This window comes from Homo sapiens, chromosome X (assembly GCF_000001405.40).
Source record: "Homo sapiens chromosome X, GRCh38.p14 Primary Assembly".
NCBI classification, from domain to species: Eukaryota; Metazoa; Chordata; class Mammalia; order Primates; family Hominidae; genus Homo; species Homo sapiens.
Genome location: NC_000023.11, coordinates 86,222,375 through 86,250,003, shown reverse-complemented (window position 1 = coordinate 86,250,003; position 27,629 = coordinate 86,222,375). Strand labels below are relative to the sequence as shown.

At 37.2% G+C, this 27,629-nt stretch overlaps 1 protein-coding gene across 7 annotated transcripts in view, besides 1 other annotated feature; it reads right to left on the bottom strand.

Moving 5' to 3' along the window:
• Window positions 1–27,629, bottom strand: part of DACH2 (dachshund family transcription factor 2) — a 684,152-nt gene that overhangs the window by 582,599 nt on the left and 73,924 nt on the right. The window lies entirely within an intron of this gene.
• Window positions 17,772–18,272: an enhancer, noted in NCBI's record as "H3K27ac hESC enhancer chrX:85486735-85487235 (GRCh37/hg19 assembly coordinates)". NCBI's record gives its function as "activates a minimal SCP1, AML or CMV promoter by ChIP-STARR-seq in naive H9 embryonic stem cells {active_cell/tissue: H9 hESC(naive)}" and the evidence as "EXISTENCE:reporter gene assay evidence [ECO:0000049][PMID:30033119]".

The window sequence follows — 27,629 nt, the reverse complement described above, 5'->3', positions numbered from 1 at the left end:
TTTGATGTTTAGCTTCCACTTATAAGTGAGAACATGTAGTATTTGCTTTCTGTTCCTGCATTAATTTGCTTAGGATGATAACCTCCAGCTCCATCCAAGTTGCTGAAAAGGACATGATCTCATTCTTTATTATGGTTGTGTAGTAATCCATGGTGTATATGTATCATATTTTCTTTATGTAATCCACTATTGGTGGGCATATAGATTGATTCCAGGTCTTTGCTATTGTGAATAGTGCTGTGATGAACATAGATGTGTATGTGTCTTAATGGTAGAATAATTTATATTCCTTTGGGTATATACCCAGTAATAGGATTGCTGTGCCAAGTGGTAGATATGTTTTAAGGTCTTCAAGAAATCTCCAAAGTGCTTTTCACAGTGGCTGAGCTAATTTATATTCATACCGGCAGTGTATAAGTGTTCCATTTTCTCTACAGCATCACCAGCATCTGTGATTTTTTAACTTTTTAATAATAGCCATTCTGACTAGTATGAGATGATATCTCATTGTGGTTTTAATTTACATTTCTCTAGTGAACAGTGATATTGAACATTTTTTCATATGCTTGTTGGCCAAGTGTATGTATTCTATAGAGAAGTATCTGTTCATGTCCTTTGCCCATTTTTCAATAGGGTGTTTCTTTTTCTTGTTCATTTGCTTAATTTCCTTATAGGTTCTGGATATGAGACATTTGTTGCATGCATAAGATACAAATATTTTCTCTCATTCTGTGGGCTGTCTGTTTACTCTGTTAATAGTTTCTTTTGATTTGCAAAAGCTCCTTAGTTAAATTAGGCCCCACTTATCAGTTTTTGTTTGTTGAAATTGCTTTTGAAGGCTTTGTCATGAAAACTCTGCCAAGGGCTATGTACAGAATAGAATGTCCTAGGTTTTCTTCTAGGGTTTTTTAAGTTGTAGGTTTTACCTATAAGTTTTTAATCCATTTTGTGTTGATTTTTGTGTATGGTGTAAGGAAGGGGTCCAGTTTCAACCTTCTGAATATAACTAGTCAGTTATCCCAACACTATTTATTGAATAGGGAGTTCTTTCCCCATTGCTTTTTTTGTTGTTGACTTTGTCAAAGATCAGATGGTTATGGGTGTGCAATAAAGCAATCTGATTTCTGGATTCCCTATTACGTTCTATCATTCTGTGTGCCTGTCTTTGTACAAGTACCACGCTGTTTTGGTTACTGTAGCCTTGTAGTATAGTCTGAAGTTGGGTATGGTGATTCCTCAGGCTCTACACTTTTTACTTAGGATTGTTTCAGCTATTTGAGCTCTTTTTTGGTTTCATATGAATTCTGGAACAATTTTTTCTAATTCCATGAAAAATGGTATTAGTAGATTGATAGGAATAGCATTGAATCTATACACTGCTTTGGGGAGTAACGCCATTTTAACAATATTGATTCTACCTATCCATGAGGATGGTGTGTTTCTCCATTTGTGTGTGTCATCTCTGATTACTTTCAGCAGTGCTTTGTAATTCTCATTGTAGAGATATTTAACCTTCCTCATTTGCGTATTCCTAGGTATATTTTTCTTTCTTTATGGCTATTGTAAATGGAATTGTATTCTTGATAAGGCTCTCAGCTTGGAGGTTGTTAGTGTATAAAAATGCTGCTGATTTTTGTGTATTGATTTTGTATCCTGAAACACTGATGAAGTCATTTATCAGATCTAGGAGCTTTGGAGCAGAAACTATGGGGTTTTCTAGGTATAAAATCATACTGTCTGTGAAGAGAGTTATTTTGACATCCTCTCTTCCTATGTGGGTGCCTTTTATTTCTTTCTCTTGCCTGATTGATTGCTCTGGCTAGGAATTCCAGTACTATGTTGAACAGAAGCTGTGAGAGTGGATATACTTGTCTTGTTGCAGTTCTCAAGAAGAATGCTTGCAGCTTTTGCCCATTCAGTATAATGTTGGCTGTGGGTTTGTAATAGAGGGCCCTTATTATTTTGAGGTATTTTTTTAATGCCTAGTTTGTTGAGAGTTTTATCATGAAGGGATATTGAACTTTATTGAAAACCTTTTCTGCATCTATTGAGATGACCATGTGGTTTTTGTTTCTAGTTCTATCTATGTGATGAATCACCTTTATTGATTTGCATAGGTTGAGCCAACCTTGCATCCTGGGAATAAAGCCTACTTGATCATGATGGATTTGCTTTTTGATGTGCAGCTAGATTTAGTTTGCTAGTATTTTGTTGAGGATTTTTCCATCTACGTTAATCAGGGATATTGGCCTAAAGTTTTCTTTTTGTGTTGTGTCTCTGCCAGGTTTTGTATCAGAATGATGCTGGCCTCATAGAATGAGTCAGGGAGGAGGCCCTCTATGTTCATGTTAATGAATCTATGTTCATATCTATGAACATAGATTATTGATTCAATTTTGGAACTCATAAATTATAAGTCTGTTCAGAGATTCAATTTCTTCCTGGTTCAATCTTGAGAAGTTGTATGTTTCCTGGAATTTATCTATTGTTTTCTAGTTTGTATGCATAAAGGTATTTGTAATAATCACTGGGTGTTTTTTGAATTTCTGTGGAGTTGGTGGTAATATCTCCTTTGTCATTTCTGATTATTTTTATTTGGGTCTTCTCTTTTTTTCTTCTTCAGTAGTCTAGCTAGTGGTCTATTGATCTATTTATTCTTTAAAAGGACCAACTTTGGTTTCATTGATCTTTTGTGTGGTTTTTCATGTCTCAATTTCATTCAGTTCAGTTCTGATTTTGGTTACTTCTTTTCTTGCTAGCTTTAGGGTTGGTACACAATTGTTTTTCTAGTTCCTCTACATGTGATGTTAGGAACTTCACAGAACTTGCTTTATGAATCTAGCTGCTCCAGTGTTAGATGCATATAAATATAGAATAGTTAAGTCTTCTTGTTGAATTGAACCTTACCATTATATAATGCCTGTCTTTGTCTTTTTCATCTTCATTGGTTTAAAATTTGTTTTGTCTGAAATTAAAAAGCAACCCATGCTTTTATTTTGTTTTTCATTTACTTGGTAGATTTTTCTCTATCCCTTTTCTTTGAGCCTATCCATGTCATTGCATGTGAAAGGGGTCTCTTAAAGACAGCAAATAGTTGGGTCTTGCCTCTTTATCCAACTTACCACTCTAAGCCTTTTAAGTAGGGTGTTTAGCCTGTTTACATTCAAGGTTAATATTGATATGTGTGGACTTCATCCTATCACACTGTTATCTGGTTGTTATTCAGACTTGATCGTATAATTGCTTTGTATTGTCAATGGTCAAAGTATGTTTTGGCAATATACTTAAGTGTGTTTTCGTGGTGGCTGGTAACTGTCTCATTTCCATGTTTAGCACTCACTTAAGGACCTCTGGTAAGACAGGTCTGGTGGTAACAAATTATTTTAGCATTTACTTGTCTGAAAAGGAACTTATTTCACCTTTCACTTATAAAGCTTAGCTTGGCCAGATATGAAATTCTTGTTTGGAATTCCTTTTCTTCCACAATGCTCAATATATGACCCCAGTCTCTTCTGGATTATAGCGTCTCTGCTGAAAGGTTCACTGTTAGCCTGATAGAGTTCACTTTGTAGGCAACCTGCCCCTTCTCTCTAGCTGTCTTTAATGTTTTTTCTTTCCTGTTGACCTTGGAGAATCTGATGACTATATGTCTTGGGGATGATCCTCTTGTATAGTATTTCACATGGGTTCTCTGAATTTCCTGAATTTGAATGTTGACCTCTCGCAAGTTTGGGAAATTTTTCATGGACAATATCTTCAAATATGTTTCCAATTTGCTTGTGTTCTCTCCCTCACTTTCAGGGATGCCAATGTTCATATGATTGGTCCCTTTATATAATCCTATATTTCTTGGAGACTTTCTTCATTCCATTTTATTCTTTTTTCTTTATTTTTATTTGATTGAGGTGGTTCAAAGAACCAGTCTTCAAGCCCTGAGATCCTTTCCTCGGCTTGGTGTATTCTGTTGCTAATACTTCTGATTGTATTGTGAAATTCCTGTAGTTTATTTTTCAGCTCTATCAGATCAGTTTGTTTCTTTCTTAAAATGTCTTGCAGCTCTTGTAACATTTTATTAGATTCCTAAGATTCTTTGGATTGGGTTTCAACTTTCACCTGAATTCTGATTATCTTTGTCACTATCCAGATTCTGAATTCTATATGTCATTTCTGCCATTTCAGCCTGGTTAAAAATCATGGCTGGAGAGTTAGTGTGGTTGCTTGGAGGCAAGATATTCTGGCTTATAGAACTGCCAGAGTTCATGTGCTGGTTCTTTCTCCTGTGTGGGCTGATATTCATTTAATCTTTAATGTTGCTGTTTTTTGGATGGGATTTTTTGCTTTTATATTCTTTTATGCCTTTGAAGATTTGACTGTAGTATAACTTTGATTCAGTCAACTGCTTTCATTTCTGGCTGGTTTCAGGGGACCAAAGATCAGCTCAGCATTCCTGGGCTACATGCTATAACCTCGCGGGGCTAGTACCAGGCCCATGAATTTGTTCTCTGGTCCCTCAAGGTTAAACACCTTCTGCTCTAAAGGGGCAAGGTGTTCCTGGTACACTGGCAACAACATTTTGATGGGGAGTTACCAGCAAAAGCACCTCATCAGGTGGTGACAGCAGGGTCCATGCTCGTGCACATGTGCCAGCAGTAGTGGAGCAACAGAGTCCATAAGCATGCATAGGTGGTGTCAGGGTGGTGGGGAATGCAAGCATGCACTTGCACCAGTTGTGGCTCTGTGGCAGTGCCTGTGCATGGACATGTCCTGACAGTGGCGGGGTGGGGTACATTACTGCCAGCAGGAACACTGAGTTTTTTTTCAATGCTTCTTCAAAGTAAGACAGCTATAACAGTTATAAAACAATAACAGCTTTTATAATAGCTATAAAAACAATTTGTTGTATTGGTTTTATCACATTATATCTTATATTATTTTCTGTAATAACCTTAATTTTGTTGTTCTTACAGTCCTGCCTTAAGTCCTTTACCAGACTATATCTTACTGATAGTGCAAACCTTATTAAATAATAAAGACTGCATATCTACATATAATACAAGGTGATAGATGTATTTTTCTAGTTTGTTTTTACTTATTTCACCAGTTACATATAATGTATGTTCATTGGGAAGCAAGTATTTTCTGTTTCTATAATAATTTTTAGTGGCAATCTCTTTATCCCAGATTGTGAAATTCTAATTATAATGTGTTGTCTACAGAGTATTATAAATTTGAAAAACTTTTTAATGCTTGTGATAAATATTTAAGGTAGTAACAGTGAATATTTCTCTTCATTTTACAGGCAAGGAAGCTATGATCAAGAGAAGTTAAGTGAGTTGCATGTCACACAGACAGCAACAGGTTCAGCCAACCCAAGACTAGAGTTATTTTTAGAGATGGCGTCTCACTCTACTGCCCAGGCTGGAATGCAGTGGTACAATTGTGGCTCACTGCAGTGTCAAACTTAAGGGCTTAAGCGATCCTCCCACTTCAGCCTCCTGAGTAGCTGGAACTAGAGGTGCATGCCAACATGCCCAGCTAATTTTGGAGGAAATTGGATATTTTCTGTCTTCTATTCTTCCTTCTGCCACAACACACTGCTTACACCTCCATCTAATAAAATAATTTTCCTTGCACCATCCCTAAGTTAGCTATGATTGTATCTTCCCACGAATTTATTCAGTATTAGAAGAAGTATTGATAGTATTGGGATAATCAATTGACTCAGAGGATGATTATAGAACAGAAAGGCTTTTGTCCCCTGTTCAAATTCAGTGTAGAACTGCAATAAACTCAGATTGATGTACTCAATCTTTTTGATTGGCTTTGCTATGTGGCTTCACTTAGGACCTATTAACAAATAAAACCCCTTTAAGAATAATTTCCACATCTTAATGCAAAATAGTCAGTTATTAAAATGTATTACAGTAGGCCAAACATACAAATGTTGCTTTGTGAATGTAAAAGGTTCATTGAATTTCCCAGATAATCAGATATTGATATATAAGAAAATAAAAATAGATTATTCTAAATTATCAATACAAAATTTTTATTAAATATTTAATATAATGCTATAAAATACTGCCAATTTCCTAATGTAAAGGTGATGAAGTACAGATGCTTCATATGGAAAGATCTAAATGGTTTCCAGGACTCTGAAGAAAATTACACCCCCGAATTAATTTGTGACCTGATTGAATAGTCTATAATAAATTAAACTTCACAAACATTGATCTGATTTATTTCTATGCTTTACTGACAGTATGTTCTTTCTATGCTTTACTTACAGTCTTATTCTGATGAACTAAAGAAATAACCAGAGACTGCAGGGAGCACACTTTTCTTGGAGAGAATCCTGAGTAGTGATAACAACAAAGAAAATATTCTCTGCTTCTGTATAAATCCACTGTCTCTGAATAGTGGGCAATTTACCAAATCAAGATACTCTATTAAGGTAGAAAAAAAAATCTCTCTTACACAGGTAATGACCAGAAAATGAAAACTGACAGAGAAACTATCTCTTCACTATGATCCAGTTATTTTTTAAAAAAACATGAATTTTAGTGTGACTGAGGTTTACAAAATGATGTTATGGCATGGAAATAGTAAAATCCTTATTATAGTGAAACAAATTAACACATATTATCATCACACATAGTTACTTTCTTTAGAAAAGTAACTAAAATCTACCTATTTGACAAATATTCCCAATCCAAAAAAATTTTATTCACTATAGTCTTCAGGTGGTAGATTAGATCTCTCGACTTTTTTTTCCTATGTATCTGCTCCTTTGTATCTTTAGATCCTTATCTCCCCATTTTCTACCAACTCCAGCTCCCACAGCTCCTAGTAACCACTATGTCATCTAATTCTAAAAACTATGTGGGAAAGAATGAAGAACAAGAAGTAAAATAATACTACTCTGTTGGAGACCAGCCTGGTCAACATAGTGAGACCCCCATCTATATTAGTCCATTCTCACACTGTAATAAAGAACTACCTGAGACTGGGTAATTGATAAAGACAAGAGGTTTAATTGACTCACAGTTTCATAGGCTATACAGGAAGCATGGCTATGAGGCCTCAGAAAACTTACAATCACGGTGGAAGGTGAAGAGGAAGCAAGCACATCTTACCAAAATGGAGCAGGAGAAAGAAGGGGGAAGTGCCACACACTTTTAAACCATCAGATCTCATGAGAACACGCTCACTATCACAAGAGCAACTAGGGAGAAACCCATCCCCCATGATCCAATTACCTCCCACCAGGTCCCTCCCCTGACACGTGGGGATTACAATTTGACATGAGATTTGGGAGGGGACACAGAGCCAGATCATATCACTCAGCCCCTGGCTTCTCACAAATCTCATGTCCTTCTCACAATTCAAAACCAGTCATGCCTTCCCAACAGTCCCCCAAAGTCTTAACTCATTCCAGCATTAACTCAAAAGTCCAAATAAGTCCAAAGTCTCATCTGAGACAAGGCAAGTCCTTTCTGCCTATGAACCAGTAAAACCAAAACAATTCAGTTACCTTCAAGATAAAATGGGGGTGCAGGCATTAAGTAAATGCTACCATTCCAAAACGGAGAAATTGGCCAAAACGAAGGGGCTATAGGCTTCATGCAAGTCTGAATGCAGCAGGGCACTCAATAAATCGTAAAGCTCCAAAATAATCTCCTTTGACTCCTTGACTCACATACAGGACACAGTGATGCAAGGGGTGGGCTCGTAAGGCCTTGGGAAGCCCCACCCCTGTAGCTTTGCAGGGTACAGCACCTTTGGCTGCTTTCATGGTCTGGCAATGAGTACCTGCAGCTTTTCCAGATATATGGTGCAAGCTGTCAGTGGACCTACAATTCTGGGGTCTGGAGGATAGTAGCCCTCTTCTCACAGCTCCACTAGGCAGTGCCCCATTGGGGACTCTGTGTGAGGGCTCCAAGCCCACATTTCCCCTCTGCATTGCTGTAGTAGAGGTCTCCATGAGGGCTCTGCCCTTGCAACAGACTTCTGCCTGGACATCCAGATGTTTCCATGCATCCTCTGAAATCTAGGCGGAGGTTCCCAAACCTCAACTCTTGCCTTCTGTGCTCCTGCAGGCCCAACACCATGTGGAAGCTGCCAAGGCTTGGGACTTGTACCCTCTGAAGCCATGGCCTGAGCTGTTCCTTGGTCCCTTTTAGCCACAGGTGGACCTGAAGCAGTGCAGGGCATCATGTTCCAAGGCTGCACAGAGTAGCTGAGCCCTGGACCTGGCTCACAAAACCATTTTATCCTCCTAGGCCTTAGGGCCTGTGATGGGAGGGGCTGCTGTGACAGTCTCTGACATGCCCTTGAGAATGTTCCCATTGCCTTGGCTATTACCATTCAGCTTCTTTTATTTATGAAAATTTCTGCAGCCCGCTTGAATTTCTCCCTAGGAAATGGGCTTTTCTCTTCTACCTCATGATCATGCTGCAAATTTTGCCAACTTTCATGCTCTGCCTCCCTTTTAAATATAAGTTCCAATTTCAGACAATCTCATTACAAATTCATATCAGCATATGCTGTTAGAAGCAGCCAGGCCACATCTTGAACACTGCTGTTTAGAAATTTCTTCCTCCATATACCCTGATTCATCTCTCTCAAGTTCAAAGTTCCAAACATCTCTAGGGCAGGGGCAAAATGGCACCAGTCCCTTTGCTACAGCATAGCAAGAATGACCTTTACTCCAGTTTTCAATAGGTTCCTCATCTCCATCTGAGGCCACTGAACTTCATTGTCCATATCACTATCAGTATTTTGGTTAAAACCATACAACAAGTCTCTAGGAAGTTCAAAACTTTCCCACATCTCCCCGTCTTCTTCTGAGACTTCCAAATTGTTCCAACCTCTGCCCATTACCCAGTTCCAAAGTTGACTCCACATTTTCAGGCATCTTTATAGCATCGCCCCACTACTGACATCAATTTTTTTATTAGTCCATTCTCCCACTGCTATAAAGAACTACCTGACATTAAGTAATTTATAAAGAAAATAAGTTAATTAACTCACAGTTCCACAGGCTGTAGAGGAAGCATGGCTAGGAGGCCTCAGGAAACTTACAATCATGGTGGAAGGCAAAGGGGAAGCATGTACGTCTTACCATGGCATAGCAGGAGAGAGACAGAAAGAGAAGAGGGAGGTGCCACACACTTTTAAACCATCAGATATTGTGAGAACACACTTAATTATCATGAGAACAGCAAGGGGGAAATCCACCCCCATGATCCAATCACCTCCCACTTGGTCCCTCCCCTAACATGTAGGTATTAAAATTTGACATTAGATTTGGATGGGGACACAGAGCCAAACCATATCACCATCTCTACAAAAAAAATATAAAAATAAACATTAGCCAGGCATGGCAGCATGTGCTTATAGTCCCAGCTACTAGGGAGGCTGAGGCAGAGAATCACTAGAGCCCACAAGGTCAGGGCTGCAATGAGCCATGATTGCACCACTGCACTCCAGACTGGGTGACAGAGCAAGACTATGTCTCAAAAAGTAATAATAATAATAATAATAATAATAATAATAATAATAATAATCTGATACAACCACCATGGTGATGAATATACTTTCTTCTTGCATTCAATTGCAAAATAACTTTAACTCAAATAATTTGAGTTTGAGGATAGCCAACTTTAACATTCCAAAACGTTTCTTAGGCTTTCAAAATCCAGATTCTACTTGCTGATCCACCCAAAACAACAAAACTCTCTGGTGTGATGAGCGTATGTTTACAATTCTAAATTGAGCTTAACCAGGTTAATCTTTCAAAACTACTATAAAGATTTCTGTTCCAGGACTCACTCTACCTTCCAAGACTGGCTTCAAATGACAGTTTAAGTAGAATCAGTTTTGGAAGTTGCTTGCTTTTGGTTATAATTGGTGAGATAAAAATGTTGAGATGAAGTGAATGACATTAAGCCACAGAGAAATTGTAACACAAGAAGGACACTTGTTCTTCCCAGCCAGAGGCCTCTACACTCACTATTGGGCTATCACCTACACATGTTCACTGAACAGAATTTTCATTATTTAAAATCCTCCATGCAGACACATATTTTCCTGATCTAATAATTCTAACAAACTTCATTACACACCCAGGGGAATGGCTAAAATGAAAAAGATATATAACACCAAGTGTTAATGACAATGTGGAGAAACTGGAACTCTCATACTCTGCTTGCTGATGGAAGTCTAAAGCTATATGGCATCATCTACTAAAGCTTAAAACAAGACTAAGTCTATGATACAGCAATGCTATAGTCAACAAGAATTAGTGCATATGTGTACCAAAAGATACAAAGGCACACACATGACTGCTCACAGAGGCATCATTTAAAATAACCTAAATTAGAGACAACCCAAAGTCCATCAACAGCAGAAAGAGTAAGTGAACTTTGTTATATTCATACAATGGCATACTATGCAGCAATAAAAAGAATGAACTACTGCTACATGTAAAAACGAGGATGAATCTTACAGACATACTGATGAATAAAAGAAGCCAGATGCAAAAGACTACATATTCTGTGATTCTATTTAGATATAGGTCAGTAATAGGCAAACAAATACATAAATGTTAGATACATATTGTCCCTTGGCAGGTGGTAGTATCTAAAATGGGGTAAAAAGGGGGGCTTCTGCATGCTAATAATGTTGACCTAGTTGCTGGCTACACAGGCACAGGTGTATTTCCCTCACAAAAAAATCAGCGAAGTTGTATACTTATAATTTCTGCACTCATCTTTATAGTTCAATAAAAAATTAACAATCTAAATCAGTTACTTCAAAGCTCAAACCAAAAACTATGAATGCTTTATCCCATCAAAGCAAATAATACTAAAATAATACTACATCAACTAATATAAGCTATAATGAATAAAATTTGGGATTGTCACCTTACTGCTTTCTCTGTTAGCAGAGAAGTGGTTCACTGGCTACAAAAATGCAAATTCTTTACTTTTTTGAGTTTCTAGTGCTTCTCACTTTTAGCAGTCACCCCATTAATCCTCATAAATATACAACACACTAATGCCATCCTGTTGTAGCTGAATTATCTTATCATGATTTACATTTGCTTGTTTAAGAACAATATTGATATTTTTAAATAAAAAACATTTTATTGAATTTTAATATAAAATTTAGTTATCCCACTAATCAACTGAACACAAAAAGAAAGCATACAACTGATATCAAAAAAATAAAGCTTTTATTTGTATTAATTTCATGTTCTTTCATTATGTACTGGTAGGGACACACATTCATTATATGATGCAAGCTATTATTATATCTGAATTGCTTTTTCATCCAAGATAACAATCAGAGAGAGGCAGAGAGCAATTTTATTAAACACCATTTGAATGTTGAGTTTTCATTATTTGAATGCAGTACTGTTGAAGCAGTTGAATAAATGGGCAATGACTTATGCTGGAACATTATAAATATTTTTATTGACATATATATCATTTTCAAAGTTTAAGAGTAGGTTTTATAACTATGAAAAACTACCAGTTTGGCCTTTTATTCTTTGCTACAAAGGACTTCATTAGCTCCTTGTAAGAATGTATCACATGTGTCTAGTGCTATGAAAATATTTGAAGGCCTTCCAATAAAGACAAAGCTATATATAAAAGTTGGTTAGCACAAAACAAAATCAAGAACAATGCCACTATTTAAAATATCACCCTGGATTGCCAGAAACATATTCTGAATGCTTCCCATATCATTAGGAGAAATCTGATGGCATTTAGAAAAGGGATCCTGCCAAATAGCATCTAAAAGATACACAAAATGAGTTCAATGAGGTAAAAAGAGTGATTAGGGTTAAATCATTAGAACTGTGAAATATTTATTATTGTGAATATGACCCTGCTAAAATCTGTCAAATAAAATATAACTCGGCATGGGACAAGAACTTGGGACCTGCTGAATGGCAGGGTTGAAAGAGCTTTAACACAAACAGGGCTGAAACATGCCCCTTGCTCACCACATTGAGCGAGATAAGAAGGAGAGAAGAGCTGTGGCACTTCGGGGAGCCCAGACCTAGGAGCTCCTTGAGCCATGGCTGTGACAGTCTCTTTGGGGCTCTGTCATTCCTGACATCTCCAAGCTTGCAGTCACCACTGCATTCCTTGGTGTCAGCCATGAAAGCTGCTTGTGGTTAGGCCTGGTTCAGCCACAGCCTCACAGGGAGCCAGTGTCCATGCCAGTGCCTGGAGCTACCCACCCCACCGCAGCCATCATGCCCAGCCATGTGCAGTGGCCAGACCCCATGCTCACTCACTCACACACCCCTTGCCGCTCCACAGCTGGCTTCCCTTGCCATGTGTGAGATTCGGGCCAGTAGCACAAGCCCAGCACAGCCTGCCAGGCCAAATGGGTGGAACAAGAACAGTGGGCTCAAGTAAAAACTCGGGCAGAGGCGCCACCAGACACAGAGGTTTCTGGATGACAAAGCACACCCCAGGGATCCCATAACAATGTCATAGCTGTCGATGTGTCATGATTTAATACATTACTCACGTGTTTGTGGTGATGCTGGTGTAAAAAAACCTACTGTGCTGACAGTCCTATAAAAAGTATAACACATACAATTATTTACAGTACATGGTACTTGATAAAATAAAGGACTATGTTACTGGTTCATGTATGTATTATACTGTACTTTTTATCATTATTTTAGAGTGTACTCCTTCTACTTATTAAAAAAAAGTTAATGTAAAACAGCCCTAGGCAGATCTTTCAAGAAGTATTACAGAAGAAGGTATTGTTATTACAGGAGATGGCAGCCCTATGTGTGTTATTGCGCCAGAAGAACTTTCAGTGCAAGACAGTGACATTTATGATCCCAACCCTGTGTAGGCCTAGGCTCATGTTTATTTTTGTGTCTTAACTTTTAACAAGAAAGTTTAAACTGTTTTAAAAAATTAATAGGAAAAAGCTTATAGAATAAATATATAAAGAAAGAAAATATTTTTGTACAATTGTACAATGTGGTTCTGTATTAAGCTGTGTTATTACAAAAGGGTAAAACAGTTTTTTAAAAATATAGAAGTTCGTAAAGTAAAAAATTACAATAAGCTAAGGTTAATTTATTATTCAAGAAATAAACTCTTTAAAGTAAAATTGGTGTAGTCTAAATGTAGTGTTTGTAAAGTCTACAGTAATGTCTTAGGACTTCACATTCACTCACCACTCCTTCACCAACTTACCCAGTGTGACCTGCAGTCCACATATTGTTCATGGTGCCCTATATACATGTGCCATTTTCTATCTTTTATGCCATATTTTTACTGTACCTTTTCTATGTTTAGGTGTGTTCAAATTCACAAATAGCATAGTGTTGCAATTGTCTACAGTATTCAGTACAGTAACATGCTGTACAGGTTTATAGCTTAAAAGGAATAGGCTGTAAAATATAGCCTAGGTGTGTCATAGGCTATTTCATTGAAATTTGTGTAAGTGTACTGTATAACCCTAGCACAATGACAAAATTGCCGAATTATGCATTTCTTAGAATGTATCCCCATCAATAAATGATGCATGACTGTATATTAAATATATAACGTATGGGCTTGTGTTAACAATTTTGTTTTCAGCTTCAGAGTTATTTTATTCACTTCTTTATTCATGTATTCATTCAATAAGCACTTATGTGTCCACAATGTACAAGACGTTGCTGTTTGAGGATACAAACACAAATAAGACATAGTTCTTGTCCTGGTGCTTAAATCCAGTGGGAAAGTCAAACAAGCAAAACCATTATCAAACAGCTTAATAGGTGCTGTATAGAAATATGGAAAGTGTTGTGCGGATTTAGTATCCCTTATCTATATTTTTTTTTTTGAGATGGAGCCTTGCTCTGTCACCCAGGCTGGAGTGCAGTGGCACGATTTGCCTCACTGCAACCTCCACTTCTCAGGTTCAAGTGATTCTCCTGACTCAGCCTCCTGAGTAACTGGGATTACAGGCACCCACCACCATGCCCAGCTAGTTTTGTATTTTCAGTAGAGATGCTGTTTCGCCATGTTGGCCAGGCTGGTCTCGAGCTCCTGACCTCAGGTAATCTACCCACCTTGGCCTCCCAAAGTGCTGGGATTACAGGTGTGAACCACCATGCCCAGCCTAGTATCCCTTACCTAAAATGCTTGGGAACAGAAGTTTTTTGAATTTCAGATTATTTTGGATTTTGGAAGATTTTCAGATACATAATGACATATCTTGAGGAGGGGTCCCAAGTCTAAACATGGAATAATGTTTCATATTCACCTAATACACATAGCCTTAAAGTAATTTTCTAGAGTATTTTAAATAATTTTGTGCATGAAACAAAGTTTTTGTACATTGAACTATCAGAAAGCAAAGGCGTTACTACCTCTGCTACCCATGTGGCATCATGTTAGTACTCAAAGTTTCAGCCAATGGAACATTTTGTATTAGCTCCAAAGTTAGCAGAGAAGGAGGTCATCTAATTATGACTGAGCAGCAACATCCCAGCAAATGTGCTATTTCTGAAAAATATGAATGCATGACCTAGGTGAAGATGGAAGGTAAGCGGGGAAACGCATGTGTAAAGACGTGAAATAGCAAGAAGTACTGTATAGCTGTACATGGAGGTCAGTATAGTTTCAGCGTGGGCTGATGACAGAAAATGGTGGAATACTAGACAAGACATCAAGGTAAACCAAAGATTTAAAACTTTATTATGAAAGCCCAGCCTCTACAGTTATAAATCATGCTGATAGTATGTACCCTTGACATGATGTGATGAAAATGGTCTTTCTCCCATAACCCATAAACCCAGGCTTATCATCAGAAAAACATCAGACAAATTCTATTGAGGAATATTCTAAAAAATACCTGACCAGTACTCAAAACTGTAAAGGTCATCAAAAACAAGGCAAATCTGAGAAACTGCCACAGACAAGAGCAGCCTAGAAACATGACAACTAAATGGAATGTGGTATCCTGGATGAAATCACAGAACAGGAAAAGGACATTAGGTAAAAACTACGGAATTCTGAATAAAGTATAAACTTTAGTTAATACTAAAGTACAAATATTGGGCTGGGCGCAGTGGCTCATGGCTATAACCCTAGCACCTTGGGAGGTCGAGGCGGGCAGATAGCTTGAGCCCAGGAGTTCCAGACCAGTCTGGGCAACTTGGCGAAACCCTATCTCTACAAAACATACAAAAATTAGCAGGCATGGTGGTGCACACACATAATCCCAGCTATTCAGGACGCTGAGGTGGGAGGATCACTGGAGTCGGGAAGGAAGAAGTTGCAGTGAGCCGAGATCGCACCACTGCACTCCAGCCTGGGTGGTAGAGCAAGACTCTGTCTCAAAAAAAAAAAATTAAATTAAAATATAAATAAAGTAGAAATATTAGCTCATTAATTATAAGAAATTTACCATATTAATTTAAGATGGTAACAATAGGGGAAGCTAGGTACAGGATATATGAGAATTCTCTGTACTTCTAAATTTTTCTGAAAATCTATAACTGTCCTAAAAATAAGTCTATAAAAATGGGGTTGGGGGTGACCAGTGTAATATTTTGGTAGAGAGTAGTATGTGTTTAGAGAATATTGAGTATTTCAGATTAATTTGTATGCAGAGTTCATATCATAAAGTAATGTTAGCTGAAATTATAGAAAGAATACCAATTGTTGTAGATCAGCTTGAAGCTTCTCAAAATACATCAAATTATATTTAGTCTTCTTGATGTGGTCACCACTCATTCCATATGCACATGTCACTGTCCAAGGGTTTCAAAGGGGGCAATGTGTGCCATGTTTTTAAATCCTCTTCATTCAAAGTGCAATGTCTCCTTAGTTTATCTCTGTGAAAAGTACATTACAAAGTGAAAGATAAATGCAGAGAGATGTTTATCTACTATCCTGAACCATAAACACCTACAATGAGGAACTGCTCATCCTCCATTTTCCAATAAAGCATTTCCTCTACAAAGTCTCTGATATGGTTTGGCTCTGTGTCCCCTCCCAAATCTCATCTTGAATTGTACTCCCATAATTCTCACGTGTTGTGGGAGGGACACGGTAGGAGATTATTTGAGTCACAGGGGCAGTGTCCCCCACACTGTTCTCATGGTAGTGAATAAGTCTCACGAGATCTGATGGTTTTATCAGGGGTTTCTGCTTTTGCATCTTCCTCATTTTCTCTTGTTGCCACCATGTAAGAAGTGCCTTTTGCCTCCTGCCACAATTCTGAGGCCTCCCCAACCATGTGGAACTGTAAGTCCAACTAAACCTCTTTTTCTTCCCAGTCTCGGGTATGTCTTTATCAGCAGCGTGAAAATGGACTAATACAGTCTCCCTCTAGTCTACCTGAAACTCTCCCAGAGACACAACTTTCTTTATTTCTCTAGGTTTATCCTCATTACTATCTTTCACCCTAGAGCAGATGAGATTAACTCTTGCCGTAAGTTGGGATTTCAAGTCCCAACCTGGAAACCAGTTTAAATGGATGGTCCAAAAGAGTTGCATTCTTGGTAACTCTGAAAATAGTTCAAAATTCCAACTCACCACATCAACTAGTTGGTGTTAATAACTAGGCAAATGAATTGAAGTAGGCTTGTCTTTGGTATCTTTTCTTTCTTTCTTTTTTAACTTGTATTTTAGGTTCAGGTGTACATGTGCAGGTTTGTTATATAGGTAAACTTGTGTCATGGGGTTTGTTGTACAGAATTTTTCATGACTCAGGTACTAAGCCTAGTATCCATTAGTTATTTTTCCTGATCCTCTCCCTCCTTCCACCCTTCACCCTCCTATAGACCCAGTGTGTATCGTTCCTCTCTATGTGTCCACATGTTCTCATCATTTAGCTCCCACTTATAAGTGAGAACAAGCAGTATTTGCTTTTTCTGTTCCTGCATTAGTTTGCTAAGGATAATGACCTCCAGCACCATTCATGTTCCTGGAAAGGATGTGATCTCATTCTTTTTTATGGCTGCATAGCATTCCATGGTGTATATGTACATTTTCTTTATCCAGTCTACCACTGATGGACATTTAGGTTGATTCCATATCCTTGCTATCGTAAAAAGTTCTGCAATGAACATACATGTGCATGTGTCTTTATGATCGAATAATTTATATTCCTTTGGGCATACATCCAGTAATGAGATTGCTGGGTTGAATGATAGTTCTACTTTTAGCTCTCTTAGGAATTACCACATTGCTTTCCACAATACTTGAACTCATTTAGATTCCCACCAACAGCGTATAAGCATTCCCTTTTCTCCTCAACCTTGCCAGTATCTGTTTGTTTGTTTGTTTACTTTTTAAGTAGCCATTCTGACTGGTGTGAGATGGTATCTTGTTACGGTTTGCATTTCTCTAATAATTATTGATATTTAGCTTTTTTTCATACGCTTGTTGGCTGACGTATGTCTTCTTTGGTAAAGTGTTCATTCATGTCCTTTGCCCTCTTTTTAATGCAGTTGTTTGTTTTTCTCTTGTAAATTTAAGTTTCTTATAGATGCTGGATACTAGACCTTTGTCAGATGCATAGTACATGAATATTTTCTCCCATTCTATAAGTTGTCTGTTTACTTTGTTGATGGTTTCTTTTGCTGTGCAGAAGTTTTTTAATTAAATTCCATTTGTCAATTTTTGCTTTTGTTGCAATTGCTTTTGGTGTCTTTGTCATGAAATCTTTGCCAGTTTCTATATCCAGAATGGTATTGCTTAGGTTGTCTTCCAGGGTTTTTACAGTTTTGGGTTTTACATTTAAGTCTTTATTCCATCTTCAGTTGATTTGTGTATATGTTATCTTTTCAAGATCGTCAACTTGATTTTTCCCAATTGGCCTGCTCTCTACTGGTCATCTAGAGTCAACATGCCCAGGGTTGCTTGTGTACAATGGCACACCATCTAGGCCTACCCTCAAGAATCTATCAGCATTTTGCTCCTTTCCCAAACACACACCCCCACTGGAGAAGCTGAAAGTCTGTTTGCAGGAGATGTTCCAACTTTACCTGGAGCTGAGTCAAGTTAGAGAGCCAAGCTGAGCGAAATACAGGGGTGGAGAAGGCAGCAGGGAGGCCCTGGGAGCTCACCAACCCCCCAGGCAACCCATTCCTGCCTGGCACCACAGGGATCCATCAGGAGGGAGGCCAGAGGACAAGGGGTAAAACCCCACAGGGGAGAAGGACTTCCCTAGCTGAACTTTGTAACAATTTGAGCGGGATGAAAAGCCTCTTGGTCAGAACTCAGGGGAGGGTGTGAATCCAGCTTGCAGACTTCACAGGCAGGGGAAGAACTAAAGCCCTTTTCTCTCACAGCTGGGTGGCAGAAAGCCTCGGGCAAGTTTTTAAGCCTGCCCTCCACCTGGAAACAGACTTGGGGTTGTTGCAGGTGGCACGGTGGGAGTGAGACCAGGCCTTCGGTGGATTTTCTCCACTTCCCTGACAACCTGCATGACTCAGCAGAGGCAGCCATAATCCTCCTAGGTACACAACTCCAGTGACCTGGGAATCTCACCCCCACCCCCCACAGCAGCCACAGCAAGACCTGCCCAAAGAGAGTCTGAGTCCAGACACACCTAGCCCCGCCCCTACCTAATGGTCCTTCCCTACCCACTCTGGTAGCCGAAGACAAAGGACATATAATCTTGGGAACTCTAGGGCTCTGCCCACTGACAGTCCCTCTCCACACTACTACAGCTGATGCTTTTTGGAAAGTGCCACCTCCTGGCAGGTGGTAAACCAGCACAAAAATAGAGCATTAAACCACCAAAGCTAAGAACCCTCAGTTTGAATGACAATAATGACACAACCTATGAAAACCTCTGGGATACAGCTAAGGCAGTGCTAAGAGGAAAGTTCATAGCCCTAACGCCTACATCAAAAAGTCTGAAACAGGACAAACAGACAATCTAAGGTCATGCCTCAAAGAACTGGAGAAACAAGAACAAACCAAACCCAAACCTAGCAAAAGAAAGGGAATAACCAAGATCAGAGCAGAACTAAACAAATTGAAATTTTTAAAAGTACAAAAGATAAATGAAACAAGAAGCTGGTTCTTTGAAAAGATAAATAAGATTGATATATCATTTGCAAGATTAACCTAAGGAAAAAAGAGAGAAAATTTAAATAACCTCACTGAGAAATGAAATAGGAGATATTACAACTGACAACACTGAAATACAAAAGATCATTCAAGGCTACTATGAACACCTTTATGCACATAAACTGGAAAACCTAGAAGAGGTGGATAAATTCCTGGAAAAAACAACCCTCCTAGCTCAAATCAGGAAGAATTACATACCCCGAACAGACCAATAAGAAGCAGTGAGGTTGAAATGGTAATTTAAAAATTACCAACAAAAAAAGTCCAGGACCAGACAGGTTCACAGCAGAATTCTACCAGACATTCAAAGAAAAATTGGTACTAATCCTTTTGACACTATTCCACAAGAGAGAGAAAGAAGGAACCCTCCCTAATTCATTCTACGAAGCCAGCATCACCCTAATACCAAAAGCAGGAAAGGACACAACTAAAGAAGGAAACTACAGACCAATATCCTTGATGAACATAGATGCCAAAATCCTTAACAAAATACTAGCTAACCGAATCCAACAACATATCAAAAAACATATCAACCACAACATATCAAAAACCAACCACCATGATCAAGTGAGTTTCATCCCAGGGATGCAGGGATGGTTTAACATATGCAAGCCAATAAATGTGATTCACCACATAAACAGAATTAAAAACAAAAATCACGTGATCATCTTAAAGGATGCAGAAAAAGCATTCGACAAAATCCAGCATCCCTTTCTGAAAAAAACCCTCAGCAAAATCAGCATACAAGGGACATACCTTAATGTAATAAAAGCTATCTAAGACAAACCCACAGCCAACATAATACTGAATGGGAACAAGTTGAAAGCATTCCCCCTGAGAACGGGAACATGACAAGGATGCCATTCTCACCACTCCAACATAGTACTGGAAGTCTTACCCAGAGAAATCAGACAAGAGAAAAAGATAAAGGGCATCCAAATCAGTAAAAAGGAAGTCAAACTGACCCTCTTTGCTGACAATATGATTGTTTACCTTGAAAACCCTAAGGACTCCTCCAGAAAGCTTCTAGAACTGACAAAAAAATTCAGCAAAGTTTCTGGATACAAGATTAACGTACACAGATCAGTAGCTCTTCTATATACCAACAATGACCAAGCAGAAAATCAAATCAATAACTCAACCCCTTTCACAATAGCTGCAAAAAAAAAAAAAATACTTAGGAATATACCTCACAAAGGAGTCAAAAGACCTCTACAGGGAAAACTACAAAACACTGCTACCAGAAATCATAGATGACACAAACAAATGGAAACATATCCATGCTTATGGATGGGTAGAATCAATATTGTGAAAATGACCATACAGCCAAAAGCAATCTGCAAATTCAATGCAATCCTCATCAAAATACCACCATCATTCTTCACAGAGTTAGAAAAAACAATTGTAAAATTCATGTGGAACCAAAAAAGAACTTGGATAGCCAAAGCAAGACCGAGCAAAAAGATCAAAACTGGAGGCATCACACTACCTGATTTCAAACTATACTATAAGGCCATAGTCACCAAAATGGCATGATACTGGCAGAAAAATAAGCACATAGACCAATGGAACAGAATAGAGAATCCAGAAATAAATCCAAATACTTACAGCCAACTGATCTTCGACAAAGCAAACAAAAACATAAAGTGAGGAAAGGATACCCTTTTCAACAAATGGTGCTGGGATAACTGGCTAGCCACATGTAGGAGAACGAAACTGGATCCTCATCTCTCATCTTACACAAAAATCCACTCAAGATGGATTAAGGACTTAAACCTAAGACCTAAAACTGTAAAAATTCTGGAAGATAAAATCAGAAAAAAACCCTCTAGACATTGGCATAGGCAAGGAGTTCATGACCAAAAAGCCAAAAGCAATTGCAATAAAAACAAGGATAAATAGCTGGGACCTAATTAAACTAAAGAGTTTTTGCACAGCAAAAGGAACAGTCAACAGAGTGTACAGACAACCCACAGAATAGGAGAAAACCTTCACAATCTTTACATTTGACAAAGGACTAATATCCAGAATCTACAACTAACTCAAACAAATCAGTACGAAAAAAAACAATCAATCGCATCAAAAAGTGGGCTAAGGACATGAATAGACAATTCCCAAAAGAAGATACACAAATGGCCAAAAAATACATGAAAAAATGCTCAACATCACTAATAATCAGGAAAATGCAAATCAAAACCACAATATAATACCTCCTTACTCCTGTAAGAATGGCCATAATCAAAGAATCAAAAAACAGTAGATGTTGGCGTAGATGCGATGATCAGGGAACACTTCTACACTGCTGGTGAGGATGTAAACTAGTACAGCCACTATGGAAAACAGTGTGGAGATTTCTTAAAGAACTAAAAGTAGAACCACCATTTGATCCAGCAAACCCACTACTGGGTTTTCTTTTTTCTTTTTTTTTTTTCCTCTTTACCCAGAGGAAAAGAAGTCATTATTTGAAAAAGATACTTGCATACACATGTTTACTGCAGCACAATTCACAATAGCAAAATCGTGGAACCAACCAAAATGCCCTTCAATCAACGAGTGGATAAAGAAACTCTGATATATATGTATGTACATATACAGCATTTGCAATGACCAGGATGAGATTAGAGACTATTATTCTAAGTGAAGTAACTCGGGAATCGAAAACCAAACATCGTATGTTCTCACTGATATATGGGAGCTAAGCTATGAGGACACAAATGCATAAGAATGATACAATGGACTTTGGAGACTTGGGGGTAAGAGTGGAAGGGGGCGAGGAATAAAAGACTGCAAATATGGTGCAGTGTGTACTGCTCGGGTGATAAGTGCACCAGGTTCTCACAAATCTCCACTAAAGAACTTACTCATGTAACCAAATACCACCTGTACCTCAATAACTTATGGAAAAATAAAATTAAAAAAATAATAAATAATAAGGATTTGGAAAAAAAGAAATCAGCATTGCATTACTGACTGGCTCAAAAACAAAGATTATTCTAGGTAAAAGAATACATGTTTTAAATGTATTTAAGTTGGTTTTAAATGTAACTTTCTTTAAGTCAGGTTAAATATTGTTAGTGTTTTTCAAATGATGGGTTGATCCTCTTTAGTAATTGTTTATTAAAATAATTTAGTAGGTTGTGACCAGCATTTTTTTTAAAAGAAGAATAGCATAGGACAGGAAATAGAAGGGAAAAGAAAGGAAGGGTGCAATGTAAGTGGTAGTAAGGGCTACTAAATTTGAAAACTTAAAAAAAAAAAAAGAATCTATCAGCATTTTAACAGAGGTGTGAATGCCAAGATGGGCGAGGGGGTTGCCTAATGCTGGGAATTTCAAGAAACAAGCTAGCTCATGGGAAGGGACAAATATTTTTGGTTGAATGAGTACCTTTTGATGTTCTTCAAAGACTACCATAGAGAGTATGGCTGAAAGAATGATTAACATAAACAGGAACAATACAAAATAAAGAAAATTTTGTATCATTTGGTGGTGAGATAAATAAAACCAAGTAAAGAAATTGAGTAAACATACCAAAGGGTACAGGGACAAACACTCTTTATACAAGTAGAAAACTAAGTCCTTGTAAACCAGCATGGCATATTTCATGTATCCCTAATCGGTAGTAAAAAGGCAAACACATGAATAACAGTGTCAAAAACACATGAAAGATAATTTACACATCATAAAACCCGTTTCATATTATTGTGCTTGGCTTAAAATGAATATTGGTGTTGGGCACATAGGATATGTCCAATAAATGTAAACCAGTATTTTTAAGTGCCTAATAATTTCATCCATTAAATTATTTTCATAGTAAATATATTTGAAAGAATACTAATCTTGAAAGAGTGGGTAGGATATTACTTTTCTCCCAAATGAAATGACTAAACTTATAACTAAAAGACAAGGACAAAAATTTTCAAAAAATAAGGTATTTTTATTTTTATAACAGGATTTGTATCTAGTTAGTGTTAAAAGTATATTTTAATAGGAAATTAGTGTTATTTGCCAATGACATTATATTCACACTATAATATGTATTAGATTATTTGGAGTAAACAATATGCAAATTTTTTCACACACAACATATGATAAATAAAGACATATTAGAAGCACAAGGTATCCATATATACAACTTCTTAATTTGGAATACTTGGCTTTTCTTTGTTTACATATCATAACACCAGGAGAAAGAAATAAAAATGCAGAATTCCAAATGGACTTGTGATTTTGTAAAGAAATTTGGACCTTTTTTGCTAGTATTTTTCTCTTGCAAAAATTGCCTTACATAAAAACTGTATAAAAGTAATGCAACTCTAGATGGAGACTTTAATCTCTAGTTACTTCCATAAGAGAAGGCTAGATCAGAGAGTATAATTTCCCGGTATCATACAGCTTATCTCTTGTGTTGACAAAAGAAAGACTCATGTTATTTTTTTCTTAGACAAATGTGATCCCAACCTGATATGACACTTTTTTTTTCAGCTGTGTAACAACACTGTAAAACCAGGTACTTTTTTCCACTTCATTATACTAATTCATGAAACTTTTGCATTGATAGCTGCAAGCTTCCAGACATTTAAAAGTCCTTTTCTGTTCACTGAAAGAAGATACAGTCACATAGACGAATACTTTTTAAAACTGAATTATAAATAGCCTATCATTTGACTTTTTTACACGTTCAAAACTGCCTTCATTTTTATAGCGTTCTCAGGAAAACTTCTGAACAGTCCTGAAAGAAATACCAATTTTGACTTTCACAATGCTTTTCCTTCTCATGTCTGTGTTCAATAAGTGTACTTTTTAGGAGAACATTAGTTATTTCACTTCTAACATGATGTTTCTCAGAGAGGGGTAAGAATTGTGCTTCCTCCTTTTTTCAACTGTGAATACTCATCAGTTAAAACAATTTGAGAATCCAAATCTTTGGCATCCTGTTCTAGTACCTGCTAGCTACAGAATTTTGCACCAAAGCTCTGAATTTATAGCCTTCATTTGGCCATCATGGCATTCAAAACCCTGGCTTTATCTGCCACATAGATATGAATAACAAAAAGAGACAGAGTATGGCTATTGTGCCTTCAAAGAAAAGCAATAACCCATTCTGCTTGCTCTACTTCATGTTCTTTAACTCATTTTATTTCATTTTAACTACCCAGAACAATTTCACCAGCCATTAGCCTGGAATGAAATCTTACAAAGGAAGACTGTTGTTATCAAGATGGGTCCCAACACTCCCTCCCTCTCCCTTTCATATGTTTTGGGGCAAATAAGCTACTTTTTAGCTATAGACTTTTTTTTTAAAGGAGAAACCTTGTGAAGCAAAAGATAATCACATTTCAGATCCACTTTAAACAACTTCAAAATAATATCCACTGAGAAGAATTTTGTGTCACATTTTGAGACACTTTATGCAAAAAAGAATTAACAGGGGAAAATCTCTTTGGTAAATTCTAAAACTAGGTAATTCCCAGGATAAATTTGAAATACAAAAATCCTAAGCCACTAATTACCAGAGTCATGAAAATAAGCTGGATCAAGAATTTAAAAAATATAAACTCCTGGCTTCCAAATGTGGTAATGGTAGAGAATGAGTACCTTATGAATTTGAATTGAAACAAAATCTCAACAAAATTATGTATTGGAACATGAATCTGAAATGATATATCTAAGTTCACTTCACTGCTCAACGCAAGTGATCAGCATATTTAGATATACAAACTAGCTCTCATTTTAGAGTGTTCATCAATTTAGATATACAAACTAGCTCTCATTTTAGAGTGTTCATCAATTTTTAATTGAGTACATGCAAAATAATTTTAATAAAAAATATTAATGCCAGGGCTCGCAAATAAATGAAGAGCAAGTTATCTCTGACTCTCTTAACAAGGAACATTTCCATTTCCTGTCAGCATTGCCAGCTCTAACCAATCATTTAGAAGCTCACTCAAGACTACTGCTAAAGCTAGGAATGGACTCTCCAAGTATTGTGGGGAAAAAATTGAGCAGGGGTTGCATTAGAAACAACAAAGCAGCTCTGTTGAGTAAACACACCATTTGTGATGCCAATAATGGGGAAACTCTATAGGCTTTCTTGATGATCATGCATTTTCCTGTTCTTAAGCTGTGTAAAATGATTTCATATTAAATCATCATTTCAGGAATAGGATTAAAAGAATGATGAACTAGTTTAAAAAAATCCTGCGTTCTCAGCATTTCACAAAATTTCTTCCTCTTTATGTTTTTGTGATATACACAAATTTTACATCCCAATAAAATATAAGAACAATCCTGATTTCAAAAAAAAAACTGTCATGTGCCACCTCACTAAGTTATTAGCAGCCATTCCAAATAAAAGAATAGGGATGGCTATTAATCTTATTCTGAAATTTCTAAGTAATTTGGGTCATTTACCGTTATTGTTACGATTCAGTGTGGAAGGTGCGGGCTTGTGATTAATAAGGGACAATATGCACATGCATCAGTGTTAACCATCAGATAATGTGGAACATGCTTTTCAGCTAAGAGATAGTGGACACACTAGCCAACACAGGCACAAGAATGAAATAAATTCCCATGATGCTCCTGAATATATTTGTTTTTTAAAACATATGACCAACGCTTCACAAAAACACATGCTCTTAAATAACATCTTCAAGTTGCACGCAATTCTAGATAAATATGCATATCTCCTCCCATTTTCAGTTTCCAAGTGAAAAAAAAAGCTGACATGAATAAACTTGAAAATTCACATTATTTTTTAATGACAGCCTTCCTTTCTGCAGGAAAGGGCAAAGACCAGATCAATAGCCCCAGAGGCAAAACAGAAATGACATTCAAAAAATGGAGAAGAGACTGATGGAGAAAGTTATGAAACTAGAATTTCAAAGAGAACCCTCTTTGATAAATGAAGAATCACCTTTCCATGTCACTAAGACATACAAGCTATACACCAAGTTTCTACTTCTCAAGAGATGGTCAGCACCTAAAAAGGAGAACATCAGTAGAATATTCAGTGCTTTAGAATGTATACACAACAGAAGATAACCACAACCCCAACAACAGTCAAATGAACAGCAAAGGCTATTTCTCCTTAAAGCTCAGATCTATCTCTGTTCCTCTGTCAGGGAGACAAACTGTGATGTCCTTTTCGGTTTGGACCTTCTCTTGAAAACGGAATTTGTCAGGATGATCTATGAGCTAATGATAAGCTCGTCATCATAAAGACATCTTCCAATTCCGTTTTCTGGTGTAAGAAAGAGGGTTTTGTTTAATCTAGCACCAAATAAATTATGAAAAGAAAAAAGGATGTTCATTACTATACATACACACAAAATGCTATATATTTACTTACATAATATACATAATTATGTGAGATTACTTATAGGCACAAAAATTCAGAGTATCCCTATGTTCAAGTAGTGGAATATATTGCTGGAACATCATGCAAATGTAGGAGATTTAACAAAAAGGGAATAATGCTAAAATTTAAAGACACCAAGAAAAACCAAAATCTGTATGTATAAAAGAAAACCTACCTTTTTGAGGTTTGATGTAAAAGGAAGCAGCATTCTCTAGTAAAGACATTATATTACATATGAAACATACAAAGCTAGCAATGTGATTACACTTTAATTTCTTATAATGGACAGGGTAAGTAGCAGTAATGCAGAGGCCTATAATTGAATAGCAGTGAGGTATTAATGAGCTCTTACTGTTTACAAACCAGTGAATTACTAACTCATCCATGACTTACATTATAGCCATTTAATAGCATGCATATTTGGAAATACCCTTCACTTTGTAAGCAGAAGCTGTAGGTATTTGGTTTTTTGGTTTTTGAGGCAGGTTTACATTGCATCATAACCCAATGTTTGTACCTTCTTCCCTAGATATTAAACTTTTCTCTCTGCTTTCACACATACTCCTTTTTATTGTACATTTTGAAGTATATTCTTCCTCTGTTTGTCATTTTCAACTTTGGCCCTTACTAATTGTACTCCCTTTATATGAGGGTGAGGTAATTTCCCTTCTTTCTTTCATGCCACTTTCTCATACTTTTCCCCTCCTTCCCAAGCTCTCCTGATTGGTGGCTATTTTCCTTGATTCAGATCTCTCAGTTAAGTAGCCTGCTTTGTGTCCCATTTCCTAGTACTGCATTTTCTTCATTAAGTTTCCTTTTAGCACCCTGGTGTAAATTGTGAAATTAAGTCTGCCTTTTGAGGGTCCCCAACCACCATTTTACTGCCAGATACACTCTCCCAGTACTAGTTCTAGTCTTAACTGCTGTCCCTGAATGCCTAAGTCCTCCCACCCAATAACTGACTCCATGCCCCAGAACTCTCAATATCTAGTCCCAATATATTTGTTTTGTACCCAATTCCCAAAGGAATCTACTTGCTACTACATAATACCTACCTTGAGCCCTGCCTTGTATTCTTGTATCTTAGGTTATTTGCTCATGTGCTGCTGTTAAGCTAGATCTTGCCGATTCTGTATTTCTAAAATGG